Below are 23,303 nucleotides of genomic sequence, written 5' to 3' on the forward strand. Positions count from 1 at the left end.
CAGAATAATAAGTCAAGTGGCTAGTGAGAGTTCCAATGAGGGAAGAATAGAGAAGGCACCCACCAACCTCTTACAAACAAGAAGAGAATAATAATTTTAAAGTTCTAAAAAGGAAAAAAGAAAAAACCCCACAAAACTATGGTTTCAGATCTCCTAGGAATTCACTGGGGGAAGCTGGATCGGTCTCACCTTTTCTGGCTACTGATTACAGATCCATGGACACAAGGATGACCTCTCCCTCTCAGGTTTAATAAGGCCAGGCAAGATGCTCTCCAAGTTTCGCAGGCAAGGTGCAACTTGAGGGGACTAGAGTGCTCCCTAAACATTCATGTTTTCTTGGTGAGCTTTCTAAGTGCCTCCATCTCTCACCCTATAGCATTCTTCTTCAGAGCCCAAGTAGAACACCTTCTGTCTGCCTATATTAAAATGTGAAAATTCATCACATTAATCTCTTAGTCTTTCAATCCCATCACCAAAGCAGGGGTGGGCGGGGACCCAAGATCCTAAGGACACAGTATGATGAAGCCACACAGAATGGACAAACTTTGACAAATGAGGATGTTGAAGTCAGGTTACGGGCTAGAGAAATTGTAAAAGTGGAGGGAAAGAGGAGAGAAAGGTACAGAATACCTGGGCAGATGAGTTAGAATGAAGAGGAAGAATTACTTAAAAAGTGGACTATCAGCAGAACAGATAAAAGGAGAAGGAGCTCTAACACTCAACACAGATGATGAAAATTTGCTTCCAGGAGGGGTTAGGAAGTTGAATTTTCTACCTCTGTGAAAATCCACTGAGACCCACCATTTGTGGGCATTTATCTTCCATGGGTCTGATGTGTTGGATAGATGAGTACAAAGGGCCAAGGGAAGTGTGACCTACCACCTGATCTCATGAATTCTGCTCTCTCTCAAGCACACGTTTTAGGTATTTTATTATGCAACTATTGTGCAAAAATCATAGCCTTTAGATTGCCCTGACTCTGGCCCCTAAGGAGTTAAAGTACATCTTCACCCTTCAGAAGACTCAGGGTCAGGCCTTTATGAATCACAATCTTAGAGTTCAAGGGGACTTTTAAGACCACTGTGAGGATCCCCAATATGACTCTCCCATCAGAAGCAACTCCCTCGTCTCCCAGCAAGCAGTCTCCTGTGGGCATTGTGCTCTCAAGGGATCTTGGAGGAGTGAATTGGGCTGGAGGACAAAGCCAAGATGTCAGTCCATTAGATGTGAGCACTGAAACTCAAATATAAGGGGAGGTGGAAAGAAGACGTAACAGTGACAAAAACAGAGGAGGGGGCAGACAGAGAGAAGAGACAGGAGACAGAGAAAGAAAGGAGATGGAGGAAAGAGAAAGAGTTCAGGCACACATTTGTATGTGTGCGTGTGAGTGCTCATGAGTGTTTAGAGAAACGTCAGGGAGATGAAGAGAGACAGAGAGAAAGTGAAGGGAGGCAAAGCAGGGGAGAGGAAAAGAGGGAGAAGAGACAGGAGAGAGAGAAAGAGAGAAGAGGGAGGACAGAGAAATTGTGCAGGCACATGTGTATGTTTGTTTCTATATGCTCATGTGTGTTTAGAGGGACAACAGAGAGGAGAGAGACAGCAAGTGAAAGAGAGAGAGAGGGCAAAGAGGAAGGGAAAGACGAAAAAAAAAGTTGACACCTGAAAAGTCTTTCCTTATGTTGAGGCCACAGCAAATCAGATGATAATGAAATTCTGCATAGATTAAACGCCCATCAACAGAAAACTTGGAAGCAAATGAGGAGTTATATCACAGAAACTCAGTGTCATGTAAATCTCACTGAACAGGGAAATCAAAATGTTAGCAACAATTACATTCTTCTTATAACAAAATGGGTTCCAAAAATGGAAAAAAAGAAGAATGGAAACACTTCTGGAAATAATTAAAGGGGGAGCAGGGATCATGGGTCGGGGGAGCTGGAGACAGAGGGAGGGGTGTGCTGGCAGTGATAAATATAGAACCATAATTTAAGAGACAGTAGGAAACGCTTTGTGTGTGTTAATTGGAAATGCATTCTGGAGGCTGCAGTTTGTTCACCATGAATGTCATGACCTTGGGTTCCTTGAGGGAATATGGTCTCCACCCTGTCCCCATGGTGAAGGGAAGAAGTGAGAAAACATGTCATTCAATGGATGAAAGAAGTTCCAGTTTATATGGTGGAAGGAACCATTTTTTTTTTTTGCCTTGCTTTTTGTTTTTCTGTATTTCATTCTTTGGATTAAAGAGAGAAACACTGTGGGATTACAGCAAAGTCATCTTATTTGCCAAGGAAAGAGACTCAGAAATGAGACAGGTTGAGAACACTCTCATCCCATGCTGTAGTGGCAAGATGGAGTCTCCTCTCTGCTTTGGCCTCCTGAGATTCTGGTTAATCAAATGAGCATGTGGCCCAATGTAAATGGAGGTGCTGGGAACTGACTTTGGAAAGAGCATTTATACCACTTCTCTGGGACAGTTCTTTTCCCAGAGACCTGGCTGTGCATCTCAGGATAGAGAAGAACGGGTCAGACTGGCTCACTGGAAAGCTCTAGTGAACTGCAAGTTGAAGTCTGTTATATATTTGGAAGAAAACTCTTGGTTTCTGAATGAGCAAAATGATCAAAGATAATTCTTCACTAAATTCCTGGCAACTCACTTCTACTCCTTTACTTATTTTTAAAATTGTTTCCTCCTTCTGTGCTTAGTTCTAAAATGCTCTTGTTGTGTTCAATTCTCACAACTGAACACAACATTCAATTGTCACAACTGAACACAACATTCAATTGTCACAATTGAACACAACAAGAGCATTTTAGAACTAAGACCTCAAAGATGACCTGAGGCAGTGATGCACGGGCTGTAGTTGTATCCCAGAGGTAAGCACATGAAGAGAAAAGCATGAACTTGATAAAAACACAGGCTCCCAAACCACCCCAGACACACCTAATCAAGATTTCTTGGGCTGGGAGGGTGGGGGTGAGGAGGGCAGGAAATCTACATTTATAACAAGCTCCCAGGTATGTTTATGTGGCCATCCCAGCTCTGGTCCCCAGACATTTGGAAGCCGCTAAAAACCAAACTCCTCAAACTCCTTAGTTTGTAACTATGTAAACTAAGACTTGGATATGGAAGTACTGCCAAAGGCCACACACAGCTGGACTAGAACTCAAATATGTCACTTCTCAGTCCAGAATTTTTTTTACTATACCTGAATCTCCTTCAAAGCATGACAGAGGCCTAAATTCTGTCTACCACCTCAGTCATTCCTGAGCCTACATCTAGAAATTCCATGGTCATGATAATTGATGATGATGATGATGATGATGATGGTGGTGGTGGTGGCAGTGGCAGCAGTGGTAAGCTAATGCTCACCTAATGCCTACTATGTGCTTGCCATTATATAATAACTTATTTAATCTTCAAAACAATTCTAGGGGATAGGCTCTATAATTGAATTGAGGCACAGAGAAGTCAAGGAAGTCATGCAAGATCACATAGCTAGCAGAAGGTGGGACTGGGATTCAAGCCCAGGACAGGCAGAAGACAGAAGTGAGCCACTTCCTCTAAACACATCTCTTTGCATTTTGGTACTTTTTCTTTTTGTCACGCATGATGTTCTCATTGTCAGTTACCTCTCTTGACCTTAACTTTTCCCCTTACTTCCCCTGCCTCCCCCGCCCACCTGCTTGTAGATACAACAGCATATGGCAGAATGATCCTGGAATGAAGGAGAAACACTCAGCAGGAACCCCAAAGATGACTAGGGATATAGGCAAGGACTGTGGCTTATTAAGGTAAGTGCTAAAAGGGCTTTTTAGGAGTGAGCATAACAGGCAGAGCCAGGCATAGAGCCAACTAATGTCATGCTTTATTTTCCCCCAAACCTACCCCAGGTTCCTGCAAAATTGAAAGCAGGATCCAAATAAGAATCAAAGTCAGCATTAGCTTTATTTCTTTGCCCCCAAATACATGGATTCTGCTTTACTGTGTTAGAGGACGTGATTTGAGCCTTCTTTGGTTCAGAAAGATGTATAGGGAACCTCCTTTCTACCATCTTCCTGGCCTCCCTCACACCCATAATCGAGATATGAGGACCCATCTTGGAATAAGTAGAGAAGGAAGAGAAAACTCCAAGCTAGTTACTATAAGAGAAAGGCCACCAAAGCAGTGACCTTGGACACAAGCTCAGCAATCAGATGAGTTCTTCTTCCTCCTTGCTTGGTGGGGCTGGGCAGGGGTCAGGAGCTGGGGGCATATGGGGGGAGTAGGCGGGAGGAGTCAGAAGTCTTTCTCTAATTGTATTCTCTCCTGGGGGATGAAGCAGAAGTCCCTTCTCCTCTACAGAAGTGTGAAGAGTAGGGTAATGGGTGTTATCTACTAACACCAGGGCTTGTCTCTGACATGCTCCGTGGCTGTCTCTATGCACTAACTACTCTGTAAGTGCTGCAAGCTCTTTGGCCTCTATTTCCTCAGTGCAGCTAATTTTCCTTGAGTCATTCATACTCTCTTCCATTCTCCTCTTGTGACCAAAGAAACCCTGAATGTTGAATAGAAGAAACCCAGCTCCATGATCATGCAAGCAATGTCTTTGAACACATATAAATAGGTTAATTCACCTCTGGTCCATGCTTCCAATAACAATGAAAAGTCAGTACAAAGCATTAACCCATTATGACATAACATTATCTTGGTTTTCCTTGCTTGCTGAAAATAAGAGCAAGTATCCTTGACTGGGAAGAGAAGTGGGGCACAAAGATGATAAAAGAATCTTAGGGAGTACTGAGGATCATCACTACCACTGGACACCAGAGCTGAATCCATGGAAGGTGCTGCTTAACTCCAGGGAGGCCCTATCTGCCTTGCCTGCAGCGTCTCCAGCAGGAAGCTCTCAGTGTATGATCCACCTCCACAGCCCCCTGGGAAAGCTGTATCATGAACATTTGGGATCATTTCATATTTCATAAATGGGCTTAACTCACACTCATGAGGTCAACTGGAAGGCCTACTGGATTTAATTATGCTAGAAAGGGAGTCAACCAGAAACATCATGCATGAAGCAGGAGAGAGGCGGCTGGGAGAAAGTGAGCAAGCAGAAGGGAGATTTGATGTGATATGAATCATCCCACCAGGATGAGGGGCTGAACCATACAGCACCCCATGGGGGGAAAAAAAACAAACAAAAAAAACAACCAGCAGTCCCTGAGCCCAACAGAATCCAAAGGAGATTCTCATCCCGATCTATTTCCAGGAAGGCTTTAGGAAGCTGGTTGAGTTTATGTCACATTGGTGAGTGCAAAATAAGCCATGTAAAATGCTACACACTGTTGTGTCCAGATCCTTAAAAAAAAAATATGATAAAGCTATCGAAGGTGTTAATACACGGAAACTCTTTCTTTCCATATTAGTTAGTTCTAAGTTCTGAGTCTAGGGTATGAAGTCTACGGGTTTGTATAACTTGACTCGGGGCTGACTTTGATGGGACAAAGAACAAGAATACATGTGAAATCATGGAGGAGAGACACTGACAGAAAGTCACAGAGATGAAAGAAGAATGAGGAACTGGTGAGCACAGACTTCCTATAGTGACATGGATTCATGGAACAATAGAAGGAACACACTGACTATATCAACCCAGGCCAGTAAGATAGGTCAGGGCGAGGCAACTAGGAATTGCTGTGGCAGAGGCTGCTCAATTTCTTCCAAATCATTTCTCTTTTTCTTCCCTAATAATACACTTTTTAGCTGAGCATATTGCTACTCATAAAAAAGATAGGATTTTCCAGCCTTCTTTGCAATAAGTGTGGCCAAGGAACTGACTTCTTGCCTATGGGATATAAATGCGTGTGTCATATGGCAGCCCCATGTAATCTCCCTTAGGAGACAGATAGCATGCTCTCTTGGCCTCTTCTTTATCGTCCCTTTCTCCACCTGCTGCCTTAAATATAGATGGCACCATCTTGGGCCATGATGACAAGGGCCACATTCCAGAGATGGTAGAGCGATGAGCTCCATGGAGACTTAGTTTGCAAGAATGTTGTAGGGCAGAATTATCACATCGGTCCTGGAAGGCTTATCTCCAAACCTTGTGTTCCATCTCTGAGAGAGACAGCCTACACCCTGGAATGAATGACTGTCTATTTGGGACCAGGTTTAGCTGCAAGTGACAAAAACAACTGAAATAACTGTCATTTAAATGAGATAGAAGTGTTTTTATTTTTCTCATATAAACAAAGATCCACCTCCTCTGTTTAAAATCTTCTCTCATCTCTAGGACTAAAGACTATTACCAGGTAACAGTTAATCCTCTCTTCTCAGAAGTAAATTATTCAATTGGGCCACCTCTCTTTGAATGTAGGCCTTCTTTCCCCACCGTGTCTCTTCATTGTCCTCTTGATATCTGCCCTTCCATTCTTCCCTTTATTCCTTTTGAGTTTGGGAGAAAATCCAGTTAGGGGCTAAAAATGCCTTAAGTCAAAGCAAAGCTCCAGGAAGTCTGCAGAATCAGCCATATGACTTGAATGTTGGGCCAGCAAGCCAGCAGAAGGGCAGATTGGCTTAAAACCAACTCAACGTCCAGCTCCCTGAACATGACCCCTGAGGCAGTGCAGCCCCAAGAAGAGAGAGGGAGGAAGTGGGCTTCCAGTACGGGTAAGCCTACACACTTGAGTGGTTCTGCAGGCCCAAGGCCAAGATGCACAACACCCCCCAGCTGCCTCCCAACCCCGATCATTTGGGATTGCCTCACCCCTGCGCTCTTTCATTACCTGACCTAAGGACCTCCTGAGGCAAATAAAGTTCTCCATGTAGGGTGAAGTTAGTGAAGTGAAAATAATAAACTTTCATGAGCGTGTTTCAATTTTCACTTGTGTTTATGGCCAAAGGTGTTTTTTATTTTAATAATCGCTGCTGGAACAAGGGCAAGCCACATGCTGCTAACTTGTTAAAGAGAAGAGGAAGGAGGAGAGAGAAAGAAAGAGTGAATGAGAGTGAGAGTCTGTGTTCAGCTGTAAATTTCCCAACAGCCTGCTCTAATCCTTCCAGTTTTGAATCCCACCCTTAAAACCTTAATGACAGAGAAAGGGATAAAATATTATCTGGACCATGTTCTGTTGACGGTTTGTCCTGGGCTCATTTTAGCCATGATAATTCAGTGATTTTTGCGCGCGCGTGTGTGTGTGTGTGTGTGTGTGTGTGTGTGTTTTAAGGGAGAGACATCAGCATTCTGTGGTACCATTTCATAATGTAGAGTGTGTAAAAGGGAAGGAATTTGGAAGAATCAGGCTCCTTCCAGTTGGACATCAACTTGACCGTTGTTTTCAGCTCACTTTTATCTGGCAGAGTTTCTGTTTGCTTTTAAATGTCAGAAAAGGTTAAGAAACGTTTGAAATCTGCAAAAGATTTTCTAGACGTATGAAGAGGATGTCCACCCTATAAAAGCATAAATTAATCACCCCTCTCCACTTTTGAAATTGCCTTTTAAAGGGAATATATCTGAGGAATCAAATGAAAGACAAAAGAATTCAAATAAATGCTCATTTGTGGGCCTGAGTATTTGACTTCAGAATGAGAGCACCTAGAAGTATCCAAATGTTATATTTCTCTCTGTCTTTATCATCCGTCCTAACTCACATTTTCCCAAATCATGAAGATTCAAGAGAAAATACTGTGGCTCAGAGAGCATTAACATATCCCTTAGCCCTACCTCTAAAGCTGGCTGCAGTAGTGAGGGACTTAAGGCCCCCAAGTGACTAATGAGCCCCCTGTATGTCTAGAAGGTGCTTTTTTTTTTTTTCACTATCACTGGTGTCTAGTACAAATGCATGGGGTGAATGAGCAGACACAAGCTCTCCAAGTCTCAGTAGATTTTCCTATACAGTATGTGCCAGTCTGCAGACCACCACCAGGGTGCACAGAAAATATACCTCTCTGAGGTCAGGGGGAAGCGTTAATAACTAACTTTATAGTTTAAGATGCTATTCTGATGTACTTAAGCTCAATACTTTCAAGAACCCATCACCTTCCAAAGGCAGAGGCTAAGTCTGGGTGTTCACAGAGGACAAAAGCCTGTGGGCTCTCAGGCCACCTGTTCACCTGAGTGCCCACAGAGACATTCTTCAAGCATCTGGTTATCAGTGGCTATCAATCCAAGCAGATTGCTGCTGAATTGTCCTTTGCTCCTGTCACCTGCCTGTTTAGGCCCAGGGGCTTTTCTTACTGCATTTGCAGATACAGGTTCCATTATGTTGTTCTGTGCCCTGCAAAGGCATGGAAATCTCAGTAAGGGACCATATGCTGAGACTCACAGCACAGATATTTCCTGCCTGGGATTCTGTATAAGAAGCAGGGCCTCTCTTTACATGACCTACGAAAAGTATGATCTTACCACTTTCCCTTTCATTATCTTCCCCACTTCTGGCTGTGGGAACATTTTCTAGGATGGATCTTTCCAGGCATTTTTTTTTCTGTGTTTTGAGTTCTCCCCATCTCCCTGAGGTTGTGGGCTTTAAAGACAAAAGCTACAAATAGCCTTTTATTTCTATTCTCTAGCACTATCTTAGCCCTTCTTTGCCCTGAGAACATAACACTGAATTGAAAAGTGTGTGTGTATATGTGCCCATGCAGCTACACGCATGTGTACTCAGGCACATACAGGGGCTAGGGAGTGTTGGAGTATTGGAGGGGAGAAAGTATTGGAGGGGAGAAAGTATTGGAGGGGAGAAAGTCAGTTTATATCTTTAAACTCTTCTTCTATGTTTATAAATACACAAAAGTGGGGTGAGGAGCTTTTGATACTCCCAGCATTGAAATAGTGACTGTGGAACATTGTCATTTTTAGTTCTTAGAAAGCTATTAGATAATTAATCTAAGCAGCGTATATGGTTTACTTCCCTGAAACTGCTTCTGCTTAATCTATGTGTTCAATAAACTGGAGTAGAAATAGAGTTGAAAGGGCTCTGATTTTCTCATGCAAGCCCTGGAGGACAGGACTGAAGACACTTACCCTGAAGTAACCATAGAAGGACAGCCCACAAGGACTTTCCAGTCCTCTATTCCAGAGATCAGGCCAAATCATTGCGCAAGTAGTTGAAGGTAGTATGTACAGGCTGGGTGGTCAATATCAACAGCAAAGGGAGGAGGGCATGATGTGCTGTGACACTAAGGAATCACTAGTTTTCTAAAGAGCAAGTCCCACCCCAAAGAAATAGAGCTAATCTTGCAACTTGGCACCCAGAAGGGGAAAGGCACAAGTCAGAGTAGCCTCACAAAGCAATGAGGTGCCAATTTCCACCTCATCCTTAAGTCATAATTCTCCAAGCCTCAGATCAGTCAAGCTAACCACTCCTGCCAGCCGAGGCTTTCTCCCATCCTATTCATTACAGCACAACCCAGAACTCTTACCATAACATGCAGAACAACAGGCCAAACCATGAGGTGAGGGCTGCAGCCAGGTAAAATGTATTTTATACCCATAAGGAGAGCAAGCCTTTATAAAATATCTGGGCACCTTAAATCTCAATGTCTCCAGCTCAGTCGTCCTACTTCTGGAGTCCTTTCCCTACTCACTTTCCTGGCATCCCTCCTCCTCAAAAAGTCAGAACATTTCTGCTGTCATTTCTTCCAGAGGATAATTGTAGATAGGAAGAAGTTAAATGTGGGGGTCTTCAGACCTGTGTTGGAGCCCAGCCCCTATCAATAGCTGAATAATTCTGAGCTTAGTAATCAGCATATGGGAGGCCTCCACTAAGTGTCTGTCAAGCTGAATCCATCCACAATCTCAGGAAGATGCTACCAGTAATTTGCACCTTCAGCACGTATTTGTTCTAAAGCATGGCTACCAACTTTTTCTGTGTGCGTGTTATTTTTAAAAACCAAGAAATTTTATAAACCACTGTCTTATGATTAATATCTATTGATTAATAGAATACATCAGAACCCAAAGCTATACGAATTCAGCACCCCCTGAAATATGACTCATATTTTTTAATCAGAATATCTACTGTGTTTAAAAAGTCATAGTACATATATGTGCTCAGTATATCATCTATTAAATCTATTATAATACTCTGTTTAAAATGCAAATTTCTGAGACCCAACCCTAGAATCTCTGATCCAGTGGATTTGGAAGTAGAGTCACAGAATCAACATTTTACCCACTGGTGTGTGTGAGTGTTCTTGTTCTTGTTTTTGTTTGAGATGGAGTCTCACTCTGTCGCCCAGGGTGGAGTGCAGTGGTTCAATCTCGGCTCACTGCACCCTTCACCTCCTGGGTTAAAGTGATTCTCCTACCTCAGCCTCCTGAGTAGCAGGGATTACAGGAGCCCACCAGCATGCCCAGCTAATTTTTGTATTTTTAGTAGAGACAGGGTTTCACGATGTTGGCCAGGCTGGTCTTGAACTCCTGATATAAGGTGATCCTCCTGCCTTGGCCTCCCAAAGTGCTAGGATTATAGGTGTGAGCCACCACACTTGGCCTGGTGTGTTTTCTATAATAGTGGTTAAAAAAAAAAAAAAAAAAACACTGTCCCAAGGGGGCTTACTTGAATTAAATGTCTATTTACTATGGCAGCTTTCATAATTTAAGTAAATAGGGCTTTAGTTTTTAGGTTGTTAATACTTTGTATTAGCTTTGCTCATCATCTGTCCTTAACGTTTTGTGAGGTACATGAAGGTAACTATTATGAAGATTCGTGGGAAATACTGGTTCAATGGCTAGGTCATCAGATTGCAGAGGTGATAAAAATGGAATTTAGTACCTTGTGAGTGTCCATTAAAGAACACTCTTTCCAATTTTCTTTGTCTTTCACAGTATAGGCTTAAAGCCTGCAAGTGTCATTTCTAGCCTTGCAAAGAGAAGTGAAGATTGTGTTGCTTCTCATTGGCTCTACACCAGTTTTACAAACTCAGTTTTGGCCAGAGTTATTCCTTAGTTGTGTGTCTTCCAAATCACACAATCCAGAGATCCATAATTGAACAACTCATGTAGTGCTAGAAGTTTAGCTCCCCTTCTCCAATAAACATGGGGATGACCATGGCATCACTGTTGCTGGTCTGGGCATGGCCTGTGGCTTGTCCATTTGGGATTCCAATTAGAGAATATGGATGGTTTCAGAATCCATTTTGTCTAAAAAGAAAGGAACTTGCCCCTTTCAATAATGCTGTGGAATTTCCAACCTGATTATTAAGAGCTCTGATGAGTCAAACTTAGGCTGGGTTTCTGGCTTCGCATAACTCCCACATTCTTTGAGTTTTGGATTCCTCTAGAATCCATCACATCTAAGACCCACAGTGACTTCAGTTCCTATATTATATTAGAGATCTGAGGAGCATAGCAAGAATCTGCTTCCCTAGCCCTAGTTTCCATTTAATTCAGAGAACAGAACTCTTAATTTATATTTCCCTTGACAAACAATGGCTTGACTTACAGAGAAAAGGCGTCTCAGGAACTTGGACAAACTTGAGAGGAGAACTAAATTAGAGGTTAAATAAAATTCAGCCTTCCCACTTCAGCCAGGTTCTGCCATCTCTAGTTACTATAAACAATTGGGATTCTGAAAGTGTTGAAAAAAATACATTGACAATCCCCCCCAAAGGAGAAAGGAATTATAAGACCATTTTGAGCCTCTCTGCTTCTCAGCAGTAATATGGTTACATGGGACAAATTTAGCCCAGAGAAAGACACCTAGCTACTGTTCCACTAAACCCTTGGAAAGGGGAGTAAATGGTCCCAACCTTTGTCATTTGTCTGCAAAGTCCTCTTCTAAGACATGCATGGAATCCATAAAATAATAGGCAATGTCTCCTGGCTCTCTCTCTCCCTCACTCCCCACCACCTCACGCCCCACAAAAGGAAAGGGTGGATTTTCATCCTACTTTGCAAACATTTGGGGAGTATCAACCTTGTGCTAGGATTTCTATAAGCCAAAATGTTGAAGATAAGGACCACAGAAGATGTGTAACATAAGATATGCCATCCAGAGATAGAAATTCAAGCATCATTTTGTGTTGTCCTACGCTTCCTATGAACAAGAAAATTACTATGAATTTTTTTCAAAATATACAAACCAGAGAAGGGGCACTGATTAACTTTGACTTGGCTTCAGTGGTTGAGGTATAGTTCTGTAATGCTGTCTTCCTTTCTGCAAAACTGTGGCAGCCATCATCTATCCTAATTTTCCAACTTGAGGAAACCTATCTCCACCTTGAGAAAGACTCTTATACAGAAACATTTAGGGACTCCTAAAGACAAACTGAGCAAAGACAAGATGTGTGCTTTTCTCACTGTGGCTCTGGTTAAGTCTGTTCCCCTCTTGTGGCCATGGTTTCCCCATATGTATGAGACAGCCAGACTAGACCTCCAAGGCTCCTTTGAACTGAAATAGTCTACCGGTCTGTGGGACTCTGCCTCCCCTTCACCTCCACCTCCCCACATACACACACAACTCCCTTCTCTGCCTTGTGGTAAAACCCTGGCTCCCTCCTTTTTCTTCTTGGCTTCTATACCCAGGGCCCCATACTGTCAGAGGAAAAGGAGTAGAATAGATATTCCATACTAAACAATTAGAGTCTGGCTGTTATTTGTGTTACTGCCTCCAGGTTGGGGGTGGGATAGTATTTCCATTTTAGTAAGACCCTATGGGACTTCAGCATCAGTACAGTTGATAGAAAAAAGAAAGAGGAAAGGAAATAACAGACTTTCCAAAGACCTTTACTGGCCACTCAAGTCTCAATGTGACATTTTTATGAATAACATGGTCCTAGAAAAGTCTGTCTCATAGAAGAAGAGGGAGCCATATTTCAGAACCATTAGGAGAGAGTGAAAGGAAACAAAGGCTTCTGGGAATTTCAGCAAGAGGAAGGATTAAAGCAAAAAGGTTGCTGTTTAGGATATGCAGGGAGAAAAAGACTTGAGATGATCAGGGATAGTGAGTCCATATGCAAAGGCTGCTAGCCTGGAAGACATGGCTAAATGACCATAGCTTCCCATGCAGTCTCAAATTGCCTCTCAATGCAGCCTCCAGGAGCTGCCACCGTTGATCTATTGTTAGGCGAGGTTGAGCCTCCTGGGCATCCATTAGGTTATACTGAAATAGGCAATTGCAGACCTGGCAGATGGGAGTTAGAAAAGAGCAGGGGAGCTCCTCTGACATTTTGAGGGTGATGGCATGAGCAGCTAATCTGGTGCCTAATGAGCAGGGCCACATCGAAGATCGAAATGCTTGAACCATGGTTGACCTCAAATTCTAAGGGGTCATGGCAGTACACTGTTCTCTCTGCTACTCAAAGTAGAAGCCACCTCTACAGCCCATCAAGTTCCCTGTCCAGTCTCTCCTTGAGAACTTCCAGGAGCAGGGAGCTCACTACTTTTTGAGTCTGCTTCATTGCCAGGCAGCTCTATTAGGAAGTTTTTCCTTGAGTTGAGGAAAAAACCTACCCGTCTGTAACATGCACCCACAGAGTCTAATTCAGTCTTCTGAGACCACACAGTGGGAAAGAAATAACTAGGGAATTGATTAAAATCCTGTTGTCAGATAGAAGAGCTGACAGGGATACCCAGTTTACTAACTAGCCTGCAGCTATTCAGCTCCTGTGGAAGTCCAACAAGGTAAGTCTCAACACCTAGGGCAGGCTTTGCACATGGAAAAGTGGCCACAAATGTGGGAATTATAGGACCAGAGAACCTGAGCATGATCAGAAGTTCTCAACAGCCAGGAATATAAAGAGTGGAAAAAAGAAGTTATCGCTAGGGTCATTCCTATTATTTATGTATAATTTGTTCTCAGTATCTTCTCAAAACCTGTAACAGGGCTTGGCATATATGAGATGCTCAGTAAATACATGTGGAAAGAAGGAATCTCTAATCAGAACCTTGTTAATGGCTCTAAGTTTTCATCATCTGATCATTTATGTAAACAACATTTAATAACCACTGCGTGTGTATTAGGCACTGGAGAGTTTATAGATAAATGTGACATGAGCTCAGGACTGAAAATCTGATGGGGAAGGAAAAATATTTACCCAAGTAGCCATAAGTGCACTAAGAAAGGGTCAAGATAAGACATGGTGAGTCCCCTAAACACAGGGACGTATTGTAAAGAGAGTTAACAAAAAGCCTTGATGTAAAAACTCTTCAACTAGTGTCACTCTGTTAAACTTGAAGCTCAATATTCCCTCTTCAATTGACAAGAACACAGACTAATGATTCAAACTAAAATTCTAAGATGTGAATTTCCCGATGGAGCTGGAGGGAGAAAGTTTCCCATGGAGGGTCCTTGTTTCTGGCTCTCTCTTTGCTTCCTGGCAAGACCTCAATTGGCACTCCTCCGAACGACCCACCCTACTGTAAACTTCTCCCCGGCAGCTCACCTTCTCCCTGGGCTTGCAACTGCGAGTCGCATACCTGGCTGCGGCCAAGATAATTTCAGGAAATGGTACTTTGGAAACTCGTCTTTAAAATGAAAACAGATAACACAGCTGGCAGTGGAGCCAAGGAAAACTCCACTTTTTCTGAAAAGCAAGCAGCTTGTTGGCACCGGAAACCTACCTGCCCAACGCCATCACTACCACATCCTCTAATAAATGCACCAGCACACATAGGATACACAAACGTTCCTCAGCAGGGCTGCAGAACACACCCTCAAAACCTGAGGAACCTTTTTCCCACCGCCCTTTGGAGGACTGTACAGCCCCTGGAGCCCTTGGAGGCTCAAACCTACAGGCCTGCATCGTATACTTCCTCCTAGAGAAACCCTGATGGCTTCTTCCTCCACACTGGAGACAATGTAAAGCAAATTGAGTGAAATTTTTGTAGGCATTTCTAAGTTAGATGAACCTTCTAGCAATTTTCACTGATAAGCAATGAGGGTTTTGTTCCCAATTTAGTAAAAGGAAAAATGAAAGATGCGAGTTGGGACCATTTCTGCTATGAGGGTGGCATTAGTAAGCTGACCTTCACTCTGTGGGAGGCAGCTGAATCCTGCTGAGAAATGTCATTTAAACAATTTTCCCTTGCACAGTTGTAACACTTTCCAACTTACAAAATGTTTTCACTTGCCTGCTCTCATGAGAGCCTCACAGCAAAGTTGTGTCATTGCCAGGATTATGGTCATCAGTGCATGCAGATGAGGAAACTGAGGCTGACAGACAATAAGTGGTTTGCTCCAGCACATGCAGAAAGGAAACGACAAATCCAGGACTGGAGCACAGACCTCCCCTGCTGCATTCGGCCTGCTTCTTCAGGGGCTCGTGGCTGCTTCTAATCTGAACATCAGATCATTCAACAAATCTGAGATTCCCCGTGAACAAAAGCTAATACAACATCTATCTTTCTATAAATCATGATAGTTCCTGGTTCTTGGGATCAATTTCATGAAGCTATAGCAAAATTGTCAGCATTTTAAGTTTTTAGAACTTAATCCTCTTCCCTGTAGAATGGACTTGGGAGCCAGACTCAGGGAATTATTTGGGTTCATAGAGTAAGGCTCGACTCTGGGGCTCTAGGAAATCAGCGTAACTGGTGGTAACCTGAAAGGTATTGACGGTCCCTCCAGGAATAATATTAGTTATTAAAATGGTGACTTATCTGTTTGTTGTCAGATTCATTGCCAAGCCTTGCTCTGCCCTGTTCTGCATCACAGGGGCTGACCTCCTCCTGGTACATTTCCCAAGCTCCTGTTCCATCTGGCTCCTGATTAAGTTTGGCCAATGGGAGGCCTCAGAAGAACATTAGAGGAAGGAAAAAGCCAAGGTATTTCCCCTGTTTCATCTGCTTATCAGAGACATTGCAGCAGTGGTCTGGTCTCTTCTGGGGTTCCACTTCCACCAGGAAGCCTCTCCCTTTGCAGTCCCAGTTCCTAAACTCTGCTAACATCACTTAACGTCTCAGTCACTTTAGCCCTAGCTAGAAATATCTTCCTGATAGTCTAAGGCTTGCCTCACCCATTTGCCCATTTTGCTCTGTCAACACCTTTGGAGCAAGTTTCTCATATTAAGGTTCATCTCTTGAACTGCCTGGCATAGATTCTGTTTTCCTGCCTGAAACTTAAACAATATAGCTACCATTTTATATGCACCTTTCTTAGTTTCTGCTACTCTGGTTAACAATATTTGAAGTTAAAGAATCTTTTGGTTCAGCCAACTTCCTAAACAAGGAAGAGCTTGGACAGTAGTGTACTGGTAACTGATATTTAACAATTAGTTCTCCAAGAAAGAAAAACTTTGATTTGTAGCATTTGCCAATTTCCATGGTGCAACTACTCCCATCATGGCTGATTTCAAGCTACCAGCATAATGTCACTGAATATGGATTTGGAAAGAGACACACAATAAACTTGAGCTGCTGCAGCTGGCTCATGGGATATCTGAGCAAGGACAACTGTATACCCTGAGGCAGCTGAACAGAGAAGGGTTTTGGGCACAGTGCTGAGCTGCTCTAAATAAATTACAAAAGTTTTTGAGGCTTCAGAGAGTAATGAGAGGCCCAGAAGAAAGAGGAAGCTGCAGAGAGCCAAAAAAGGAAAACAAGGGAAAAAAAATGTCTAATAGGAATTTGGGGAGTGAAGTGTTAAGAGCTGTGAGCTGTAGCTTCCCCCGAGAGAACTATAGAATCAACAGTAAAAGATCTCCTTATCATTAATGCATTGAAGAGCTGAAATTATTTGGGAGGTTGAATTGAAGAGCCAAGGGAACTGCCAAAGAAAAACAGAACCACAAGTGGGTTACAATGGATTGTAGAGTGGCATCATCAGAAGGGGCCTCAGAGATCCTGCATTCAAACAGAGTTATTTAACAGATGAGGAAACTGAGCCTCAGAAAGGCCAAGACCATCCTGGCATATAATGGCAGAACCCCAGTCTAGAATGGGTTTCCTGACAAGGGCATTCATTCATTCAATAAATATTGCTTGGTGCTAGACATCTATTGTGAGCACCACAGACATGGTCCTTATCTTCAAGGACTTTACCATCCACTGGAAGAAAGAAGGATTAAATAGCTTATCATAGTATGTAACTATTTTTTCATGTGATGAGTACTGTGAAGAAAAAACAGAGGGCACTTTAATAGACCTTACACAAAGACCTAATTTAGCCCAAGGGGTACAGAAAAGCATCTCTGGGGAAGTCTGACCCTGAACTGAGAAGGAAATGAAGAACATGAATCTGTCAGGTAAAGATGAGGGGAAAGAGGGCTCCAGGTAAAGGGACTTCAGACACAGTGGCTCTGCTTCAGGGTTTGGTCCCAAACAAATGCCTCTTATGTAGTATATCTTCTCTTTCATCACTAAACACTCTGAAATTTGTTATATCCTCTAAGCCCTGAGTTATAAGCAAGATGATTAAACTTTGTCATAAGGTAGTATCTTGAATTTAGGTGCAAATATAAGTGTGTGACTAGCTGTTATCCTATACTTTAGAATGAAAACTGGTGGGTGCCTTGGGCCTGGGCAGTGCTCAACTCCTGTCAATGGGAGGCAGCAATGCACCCTGTAGATCCCAGGCCAAAGTGAAGCCCTTGCTTCTCTCTGTGGGCAAAACTGAGATAAAGGAACACATTCTCCAGGCCATGTCATTGTATTTTTACCTGCCAAAACCCATTGCTGATGTCCCCATGCCTTCCCTAACAGGTGGAGGTGGACAGCATACCCTGGGGAACCTAAAAATTCCTGAGCTATGGCCCATTACCCTCTCCACCTGTGGGGTTGAGTCTGAGCCATTTCTTTCCCCCAGGCTTCAGAACCCCTTCTCCCAGCTACATTCCTCCCATCTTGATCTACGGAGGCTGGGAAGAGACATGAAAGCTTGCTTTTGCTCTCACGTCAAGTAAGTCCATCAATTATGCTTTCTAATGTTTAATTCCATTATTTTATCATCAAATAACTGAAGCCAGATTTATCTTCAATTCATTATGACCTCTCCAGCCCTTAACTTTAGACAAAGCAAACACTACCAAAAACACCCCGAATGGACTTGCTACAAAAATTTGGGTAAATTTTATTTTTCTCATCTCTAAATTAGATGCATAAAGCCAACCTTTGCAGAGAAGTGACTGTAAGGAAGAACAAATAACTTACTTGTCAAATTTCTGGAGGTCTTCCTGTAGCACCATCTGGAGAGCCCAGTGCTATAATTCCATGGATATGATTGTGAGGTCTTGTGTGAGGAATGTCTTCTTTCAGGCAGCTAGAATTCCAGCCCACTGATATTTCCATGGACTTGGCATGTTGACATCCCTCGGACTCAGTTTCTCTCCTTTGCAAAATAAGATAAATAATATGGTCTAGTCAGCTGGCACCATAAGAACAATTCTTAAAATAATTTTGTGCACTTTAGAAGGAAAGACATCAGTAACATTCAAGTTTTTTGGCATTTTTTTTCCATATTGAATCACTCCAAGGTAAGGGTTTTTAAAAATCTAAGTGGGGAAATCAGCAAATATATCCACACAAATCAGTATGTTTCTTTTTGGCATATGGCATTACTATGCATTTTGATTTTAAGGATAAGCAGTTTTCATCAGTATTTTTTAAATGTGCTGAGTCTTTTCTCTCAGGCTCCTGGATTCAAGGGGCTGAATAGATGGGAATTCCTGCTGTCTCTGGAGAAGAGCTTACTTCCTTTCCCAGACTTCCCAACCCCACCCAGGATCACTTGTCATTGAGATTAACCTTTGTGGAGAGGCACCCAGGAGCGCAACTCTCTGGGAGTGTGACAGCTTTTTCAGGATATCAGGAAGTGGAGCGTGTGTGTGACCCAGGAGGGACACACATCCATGTTACAGAAGAAGGCTGAGGCTGCAAAACATGCCCCAGAAAGGAAGCGGATGTTACACCTTCGCTACCTCGCTGCTCTGAAACAGGAAGACATTCATTTGTCCTTCTGGGCATTCAACATTCCACTCACAAACTCCCCTCCTGGAGTCTCTCTGTGGTTCAGTGAATCGTATGTTCCAGAAACCAGCCCTTCCCCCACCTCAACCCAGAGGACTTACTAGTTCTGATGTGAAAGGTATTGATTCAGAAGCTCTTGATGGCTGAGGGCTCCCTGCTAATGCCCTTCCCCCTAGTGCGTTTATTAAACGCCCTCCCGCCTAGTGCATTTGGCAGGTCTCAGAATTCTGCTTTCTTGTGTTCCCTTCCATTTTCTTCATTGTAAGCCCCTCCTCCGTCAAATAAACCCTAACTTGGGTTTAAGACCTTCTTGGAAGATGATTCTATACCCTCCCTTTCTAGACCTCCACAACCCTCACTCTCATTCAAATGAGAGAATCACTAAAGGGCTCCTTGTCCTTGCCCCCCAGCAGACCCTCATAAATCCACAGTGAGGTTTTTTTTTTAATTAAAGCGTCCAAATAATTAATGATCAACTCCATTTGTGCCATAGAAAACCAAAATGTCACACGGTTGAAAAGACCCAACCAAATAATTCAGTGTACCCTATAAAGCTTTAAAAAAGCGGAGCCCAAGAGGCCTGCATGACTGGTTTCTGTGCTGTCTGAAAAGCTTGGTTGGGTTTTGGGCACTTGATCGGATTCCAGGAATAATGTGCCCTGAGCACAAAGGGCTCTTTTGATGTGTCTGTGCCATAGCTCCTCCCCTTTTCCTCCTCACTTTACCTGGGATACACATTCTCCTTGTCTCCTAAGTTGGAAAAAATAACCCATGGAAAAGAGGAAAAAACAGCAGAGGGAAAATCTAGGCTGGAAGTGGGGAAAAATGCTGCAGTTCTTAGTCTGAGTTTGGTTACTAAAGACTAGTTATTCCAGAAGGAATAGAAGAAGTGACATTTATACATTGTCTGTGACCAGACAATGGGAAATCGTAATGATAAGATGTCTCTTGTTTGAATGTGGTCCCTTGAGCTAAAGGTAATGAGTGAGTCTTCAAGCAAGGACTTGCCACTTTCAAACAGTCAGAGGTATGGCAGGTTACTAACCCTAGAAATCAACATGAATTTAGATGCCTAATCCAGCCAGAGAATCTTATAGATAGTGAGTCCATCCCGTTGGTTTTCCATGGGTACCAGAATATTCAGGAAAGATGGAAAGAAACAAGACAGAACTTCCATTGCTAGGATGTCCTTAAAAAGTGGCAGAGCAAACTAGAGGCCAGGAGTGTATAAGCAATGGCCCTGAGAGATAAGGATTGTGGGTCTAGCCCCAGCATACAGATGTCCAGATTGGCAGCAAACTGCAGTAAGCTGGTGCTAATACAGGGCTATTTTTGTCTGTCTGGGCTAACTTGAAGAGGATGTTTTTTCCTTCTAGCCTCATTCTCCTTATCTACGTAAAGATGGACTTGTACTGCACCACCATCAGCTCTGAGATTCTATTTCAGAAATCTATTGCTGCCCCAAAATTTGATGGCTGACAACAAGAATCTACTTATTTAGGTCTTTTTGGTTTTATCTCAACAGTGTTTTATGGATATCTGTGTAGAGATTTGTACATATATAGATTCATTGGTAGATTTATCCCAACTATATGTTTTTGATATTACTGTAAATGGTATGCTTTTTAAATTTTATTTTTAAATTATTTGTTAAATATATTTATTTACATATGTATATAGAAATATTGATTTATATATACCAGCAACAAATCATCAGCTCTGAGATTCTGTTTCAGGACTCTATTGCTGCCCCCAAATTTAATTGATTTTTATAGATTGAATTTGTATCTAGTAACTTCACCAAACTCACTTACTAATAATATTTTATAGATTCTCAGTCTGTCTTCTCACCATCAACTCTCAGCTGGTGAGATCACAAGGAAGATGCTTGATATATCTTTTAGGTTTCTTAGGTTGTAAGCAACAGAAGTGACTCTGACTAGCTTAGATATAAGGTAGAATCTATTTTAAAGCTATGGGATAGTTCTGTGAATCACAGAAAAAAAAAATGAACTGTTAGACCTCAGAAAATGAGAGGGCCTAGGATAGCATTCAGGCACAAATCAACTATCTCCATCAGGACGATCTCTGGACTTACCCTTGTGTAACTTCTCTTAAGATTCAAATTCCTCAGAGAGCAGGACTTGTTGGCCCTATTTATCTCCGGCCCTTGGCCACATTGCCAGTTAATTGAGAGGCCCACCAAAACTGCATGCAGTGCCAGAAGAGTGTTACCCCAAAGGAAATTCAAGGTGCTGTTATGCAAAGGGAGAACTCATGCTGCAGACGTAAAACAACACGACTGCCATGTATGATATCTAACTAGAACTTTCTGCCCATCACTCATCAAGTGTACAGACTAGCACTTAAAGTTTCGGTGATAATAGTGGTGATGGAAAAGATTACAATCTCAGACAGCCCTATCTTCCTATCTAGCCATCAAAAGCACTTGGGTTCACTGTCAATGATCCATGTTATTCATTTATACATGAAAGTAGATCCTTCGCCTAGCTTGGCCTGCCTGGGCTTCAGTCTACCTCCCTCTTTCCCATTAATATGTTTTGCACTGTTGAAATAGGCTTGATTAGTAATCAAATACATCTGTGTTCTATCTTGCTTTCTTGCCTCTATCTTCTGTCTCTTTTTAAGGGTGGTGGTGTGTTTACTTTGCTGCAGTTACTTTGGAATCAGAGACCTAGTATTTATCCTGATACAATCAGTAACAACATTGAATTCTCTCTGCTTGCTGAACTTTTTATACACTATGTGGGCTTGAGCACACGTAGTGCATAAAAGATGTTTGTGGGTTTCCTAGGTGTTCTTAATCCATCAGAAAATGGATTGGGGTAATCATGATCAATTTTCCTAAGGAGGGAATTATAGTGAAAAAAAGTGAGGTTAAAAGGCTCTTATCTTTGCCATCACTCATCCCCACCTTTATTTATTGCTTTCTCTGGTTTTCATTAGCATGCTGATGACCAAAGCTACAGACATTTTCATCCATATTCTGACTGCTGCCCTGATTTCAGTTCCAAGTTATGAAACCTAATCCAAACCTTAGAGGGGAAACTACAAACTGTAACTTTAAATTTCAGTTTACAGAGTCTCCCAGGATGATTCCAGGAATTGAGTTGGGAGGGGTCCTGGGAATCAGAAACCAAACTACCATCTCCTTCCTCCTCTGAAAGGACCCGAGGACATTTGAAACATAACTCATAAAAGACCATTTTCACAACATCCCAGCTGAGAAAAATTGCAAGAGAACATCTCACTCAACCTCCTCCCTGCAATTGCTCCTAACTAATTCCAGATAGAAGGAGGTGTCTCTTAGTCTTCAAGATCACTTGAAGGGCATTTCACAATTCCCCATGGTCACCTGTTTCAAAATATAAGAACTGGATGCCAGGAAAATATTCCTCATATTCAAATACCAATTCTTTCTTCAATTCAGACCATTTGGATAATTAAAGTATAACATTTCAGAACTGGAAGAGGCTTTAAATACCATTTAGTCTAGAGGTTACGACTGGTAACCAAGGATTGAGACATATTTTACTAGGGCCACAGAAAGTTTAATTTTTGAATTTTTGTATTTGTTGCCAATGCTTAGATATTGAGATAGATCCTTTCAAAAAAAATCCAGATAGCTGGGATCTCTAGAAAACATAAAAGATCTGGAAACACAGTGGTCCTCATTCCCATGGCAGCAATTGGAGTTGGGTGCTTCTCTTTGGATTGGGGTTGTATGGAGAAAATAAACTCTAGTTTATCATAGAACACACCAGATTTGCTTGCCTCATGTACCCTAAATGATTAACTCTTATCAGCATCTAAGTTTGTGATCCCTGATTTTTGTGGACATGAAAACTGAGAACCAGAAAAATGATCTAACTGAGGTGACCAGCTGTGCAGGTGTGACAAGAGCTAGAACCAGGGCTCATGCCTCCTAGGCCAATGATCTTCCACTATAGAGCACTGCTTTCAGGCTCTTACTATGCCAACCTGGGGCAACTGAAGAAGAAAATTAAATAGGGCAGGGAGTTGACATAATAAAAGTTAAAACCTACAATTTCCATATGCCCTGTGATCTTCTGTAATCCTTGGGTCAGCTCAGCAGTAAGGTGATAAAGATGTTCCCTATGGAACCTTAAAGAAGACAATTGGTTCATACCCAGTTTATTGTGAAGGAAAGGTTCAGTGGGAAGACTAGAAGACACAAGTCCATTTTTATGATGGGGTGTATGTGAGTGGTTTGTTTGAGGAGTAGTTCTCAGTACTTTAATCAAGAAGGTACTATGCCCATTTTCAACTCCAAGATGTAGTCCGAAGACAAAAAATAAATAAATAAATAAAGTCTTACAGAGAATATGAAGGGCACAGGGGGAATTTTGTCTATCAAAAAAATTTAAAAATAATGATTTC

At 42.3% G+C, this 23,303-nt stretch overlaps 1 long non-coding RNA gene across 12 annotated transcripts in view; it reads right to left on the reverse strand.

Moving 5' to 3' along the window:
* The window catches only part of DIRC3 (disrupted in renal carcinoma 3), a 506,425-nt gene that overhangs the window by 176,297 nt on the left and 306,825 nt on the right, over positions 1 to 23,303 (reverse strand). For all 12 annotated transcript variants that reach the window (NR_186298.1, NR_186301.1, NR_186296.1 and 9 more), the window contains one exon: positions 18,066 to 18,243. This is a non-coding gene — a long non-coding RNA (disrupted in renal carcinoma 3). The remainder of the gene's footprint in view (positions 1 to 18,065; positions 18,244 to 23,303) is intronic.

Source organism: Homo sapiens, chromosome 2, assembly GCF_000001405.40.
Source record: "Homo sapiens chromosome 2, GRCh38.p14 Primary Assembly".
Classification (NCBI taxonomy): domain Eukaryota; kingdom Metazoa; phylum Chordata; class Mammalia; order Primates; family Hominidae; genus Homo; species Homo sapiens.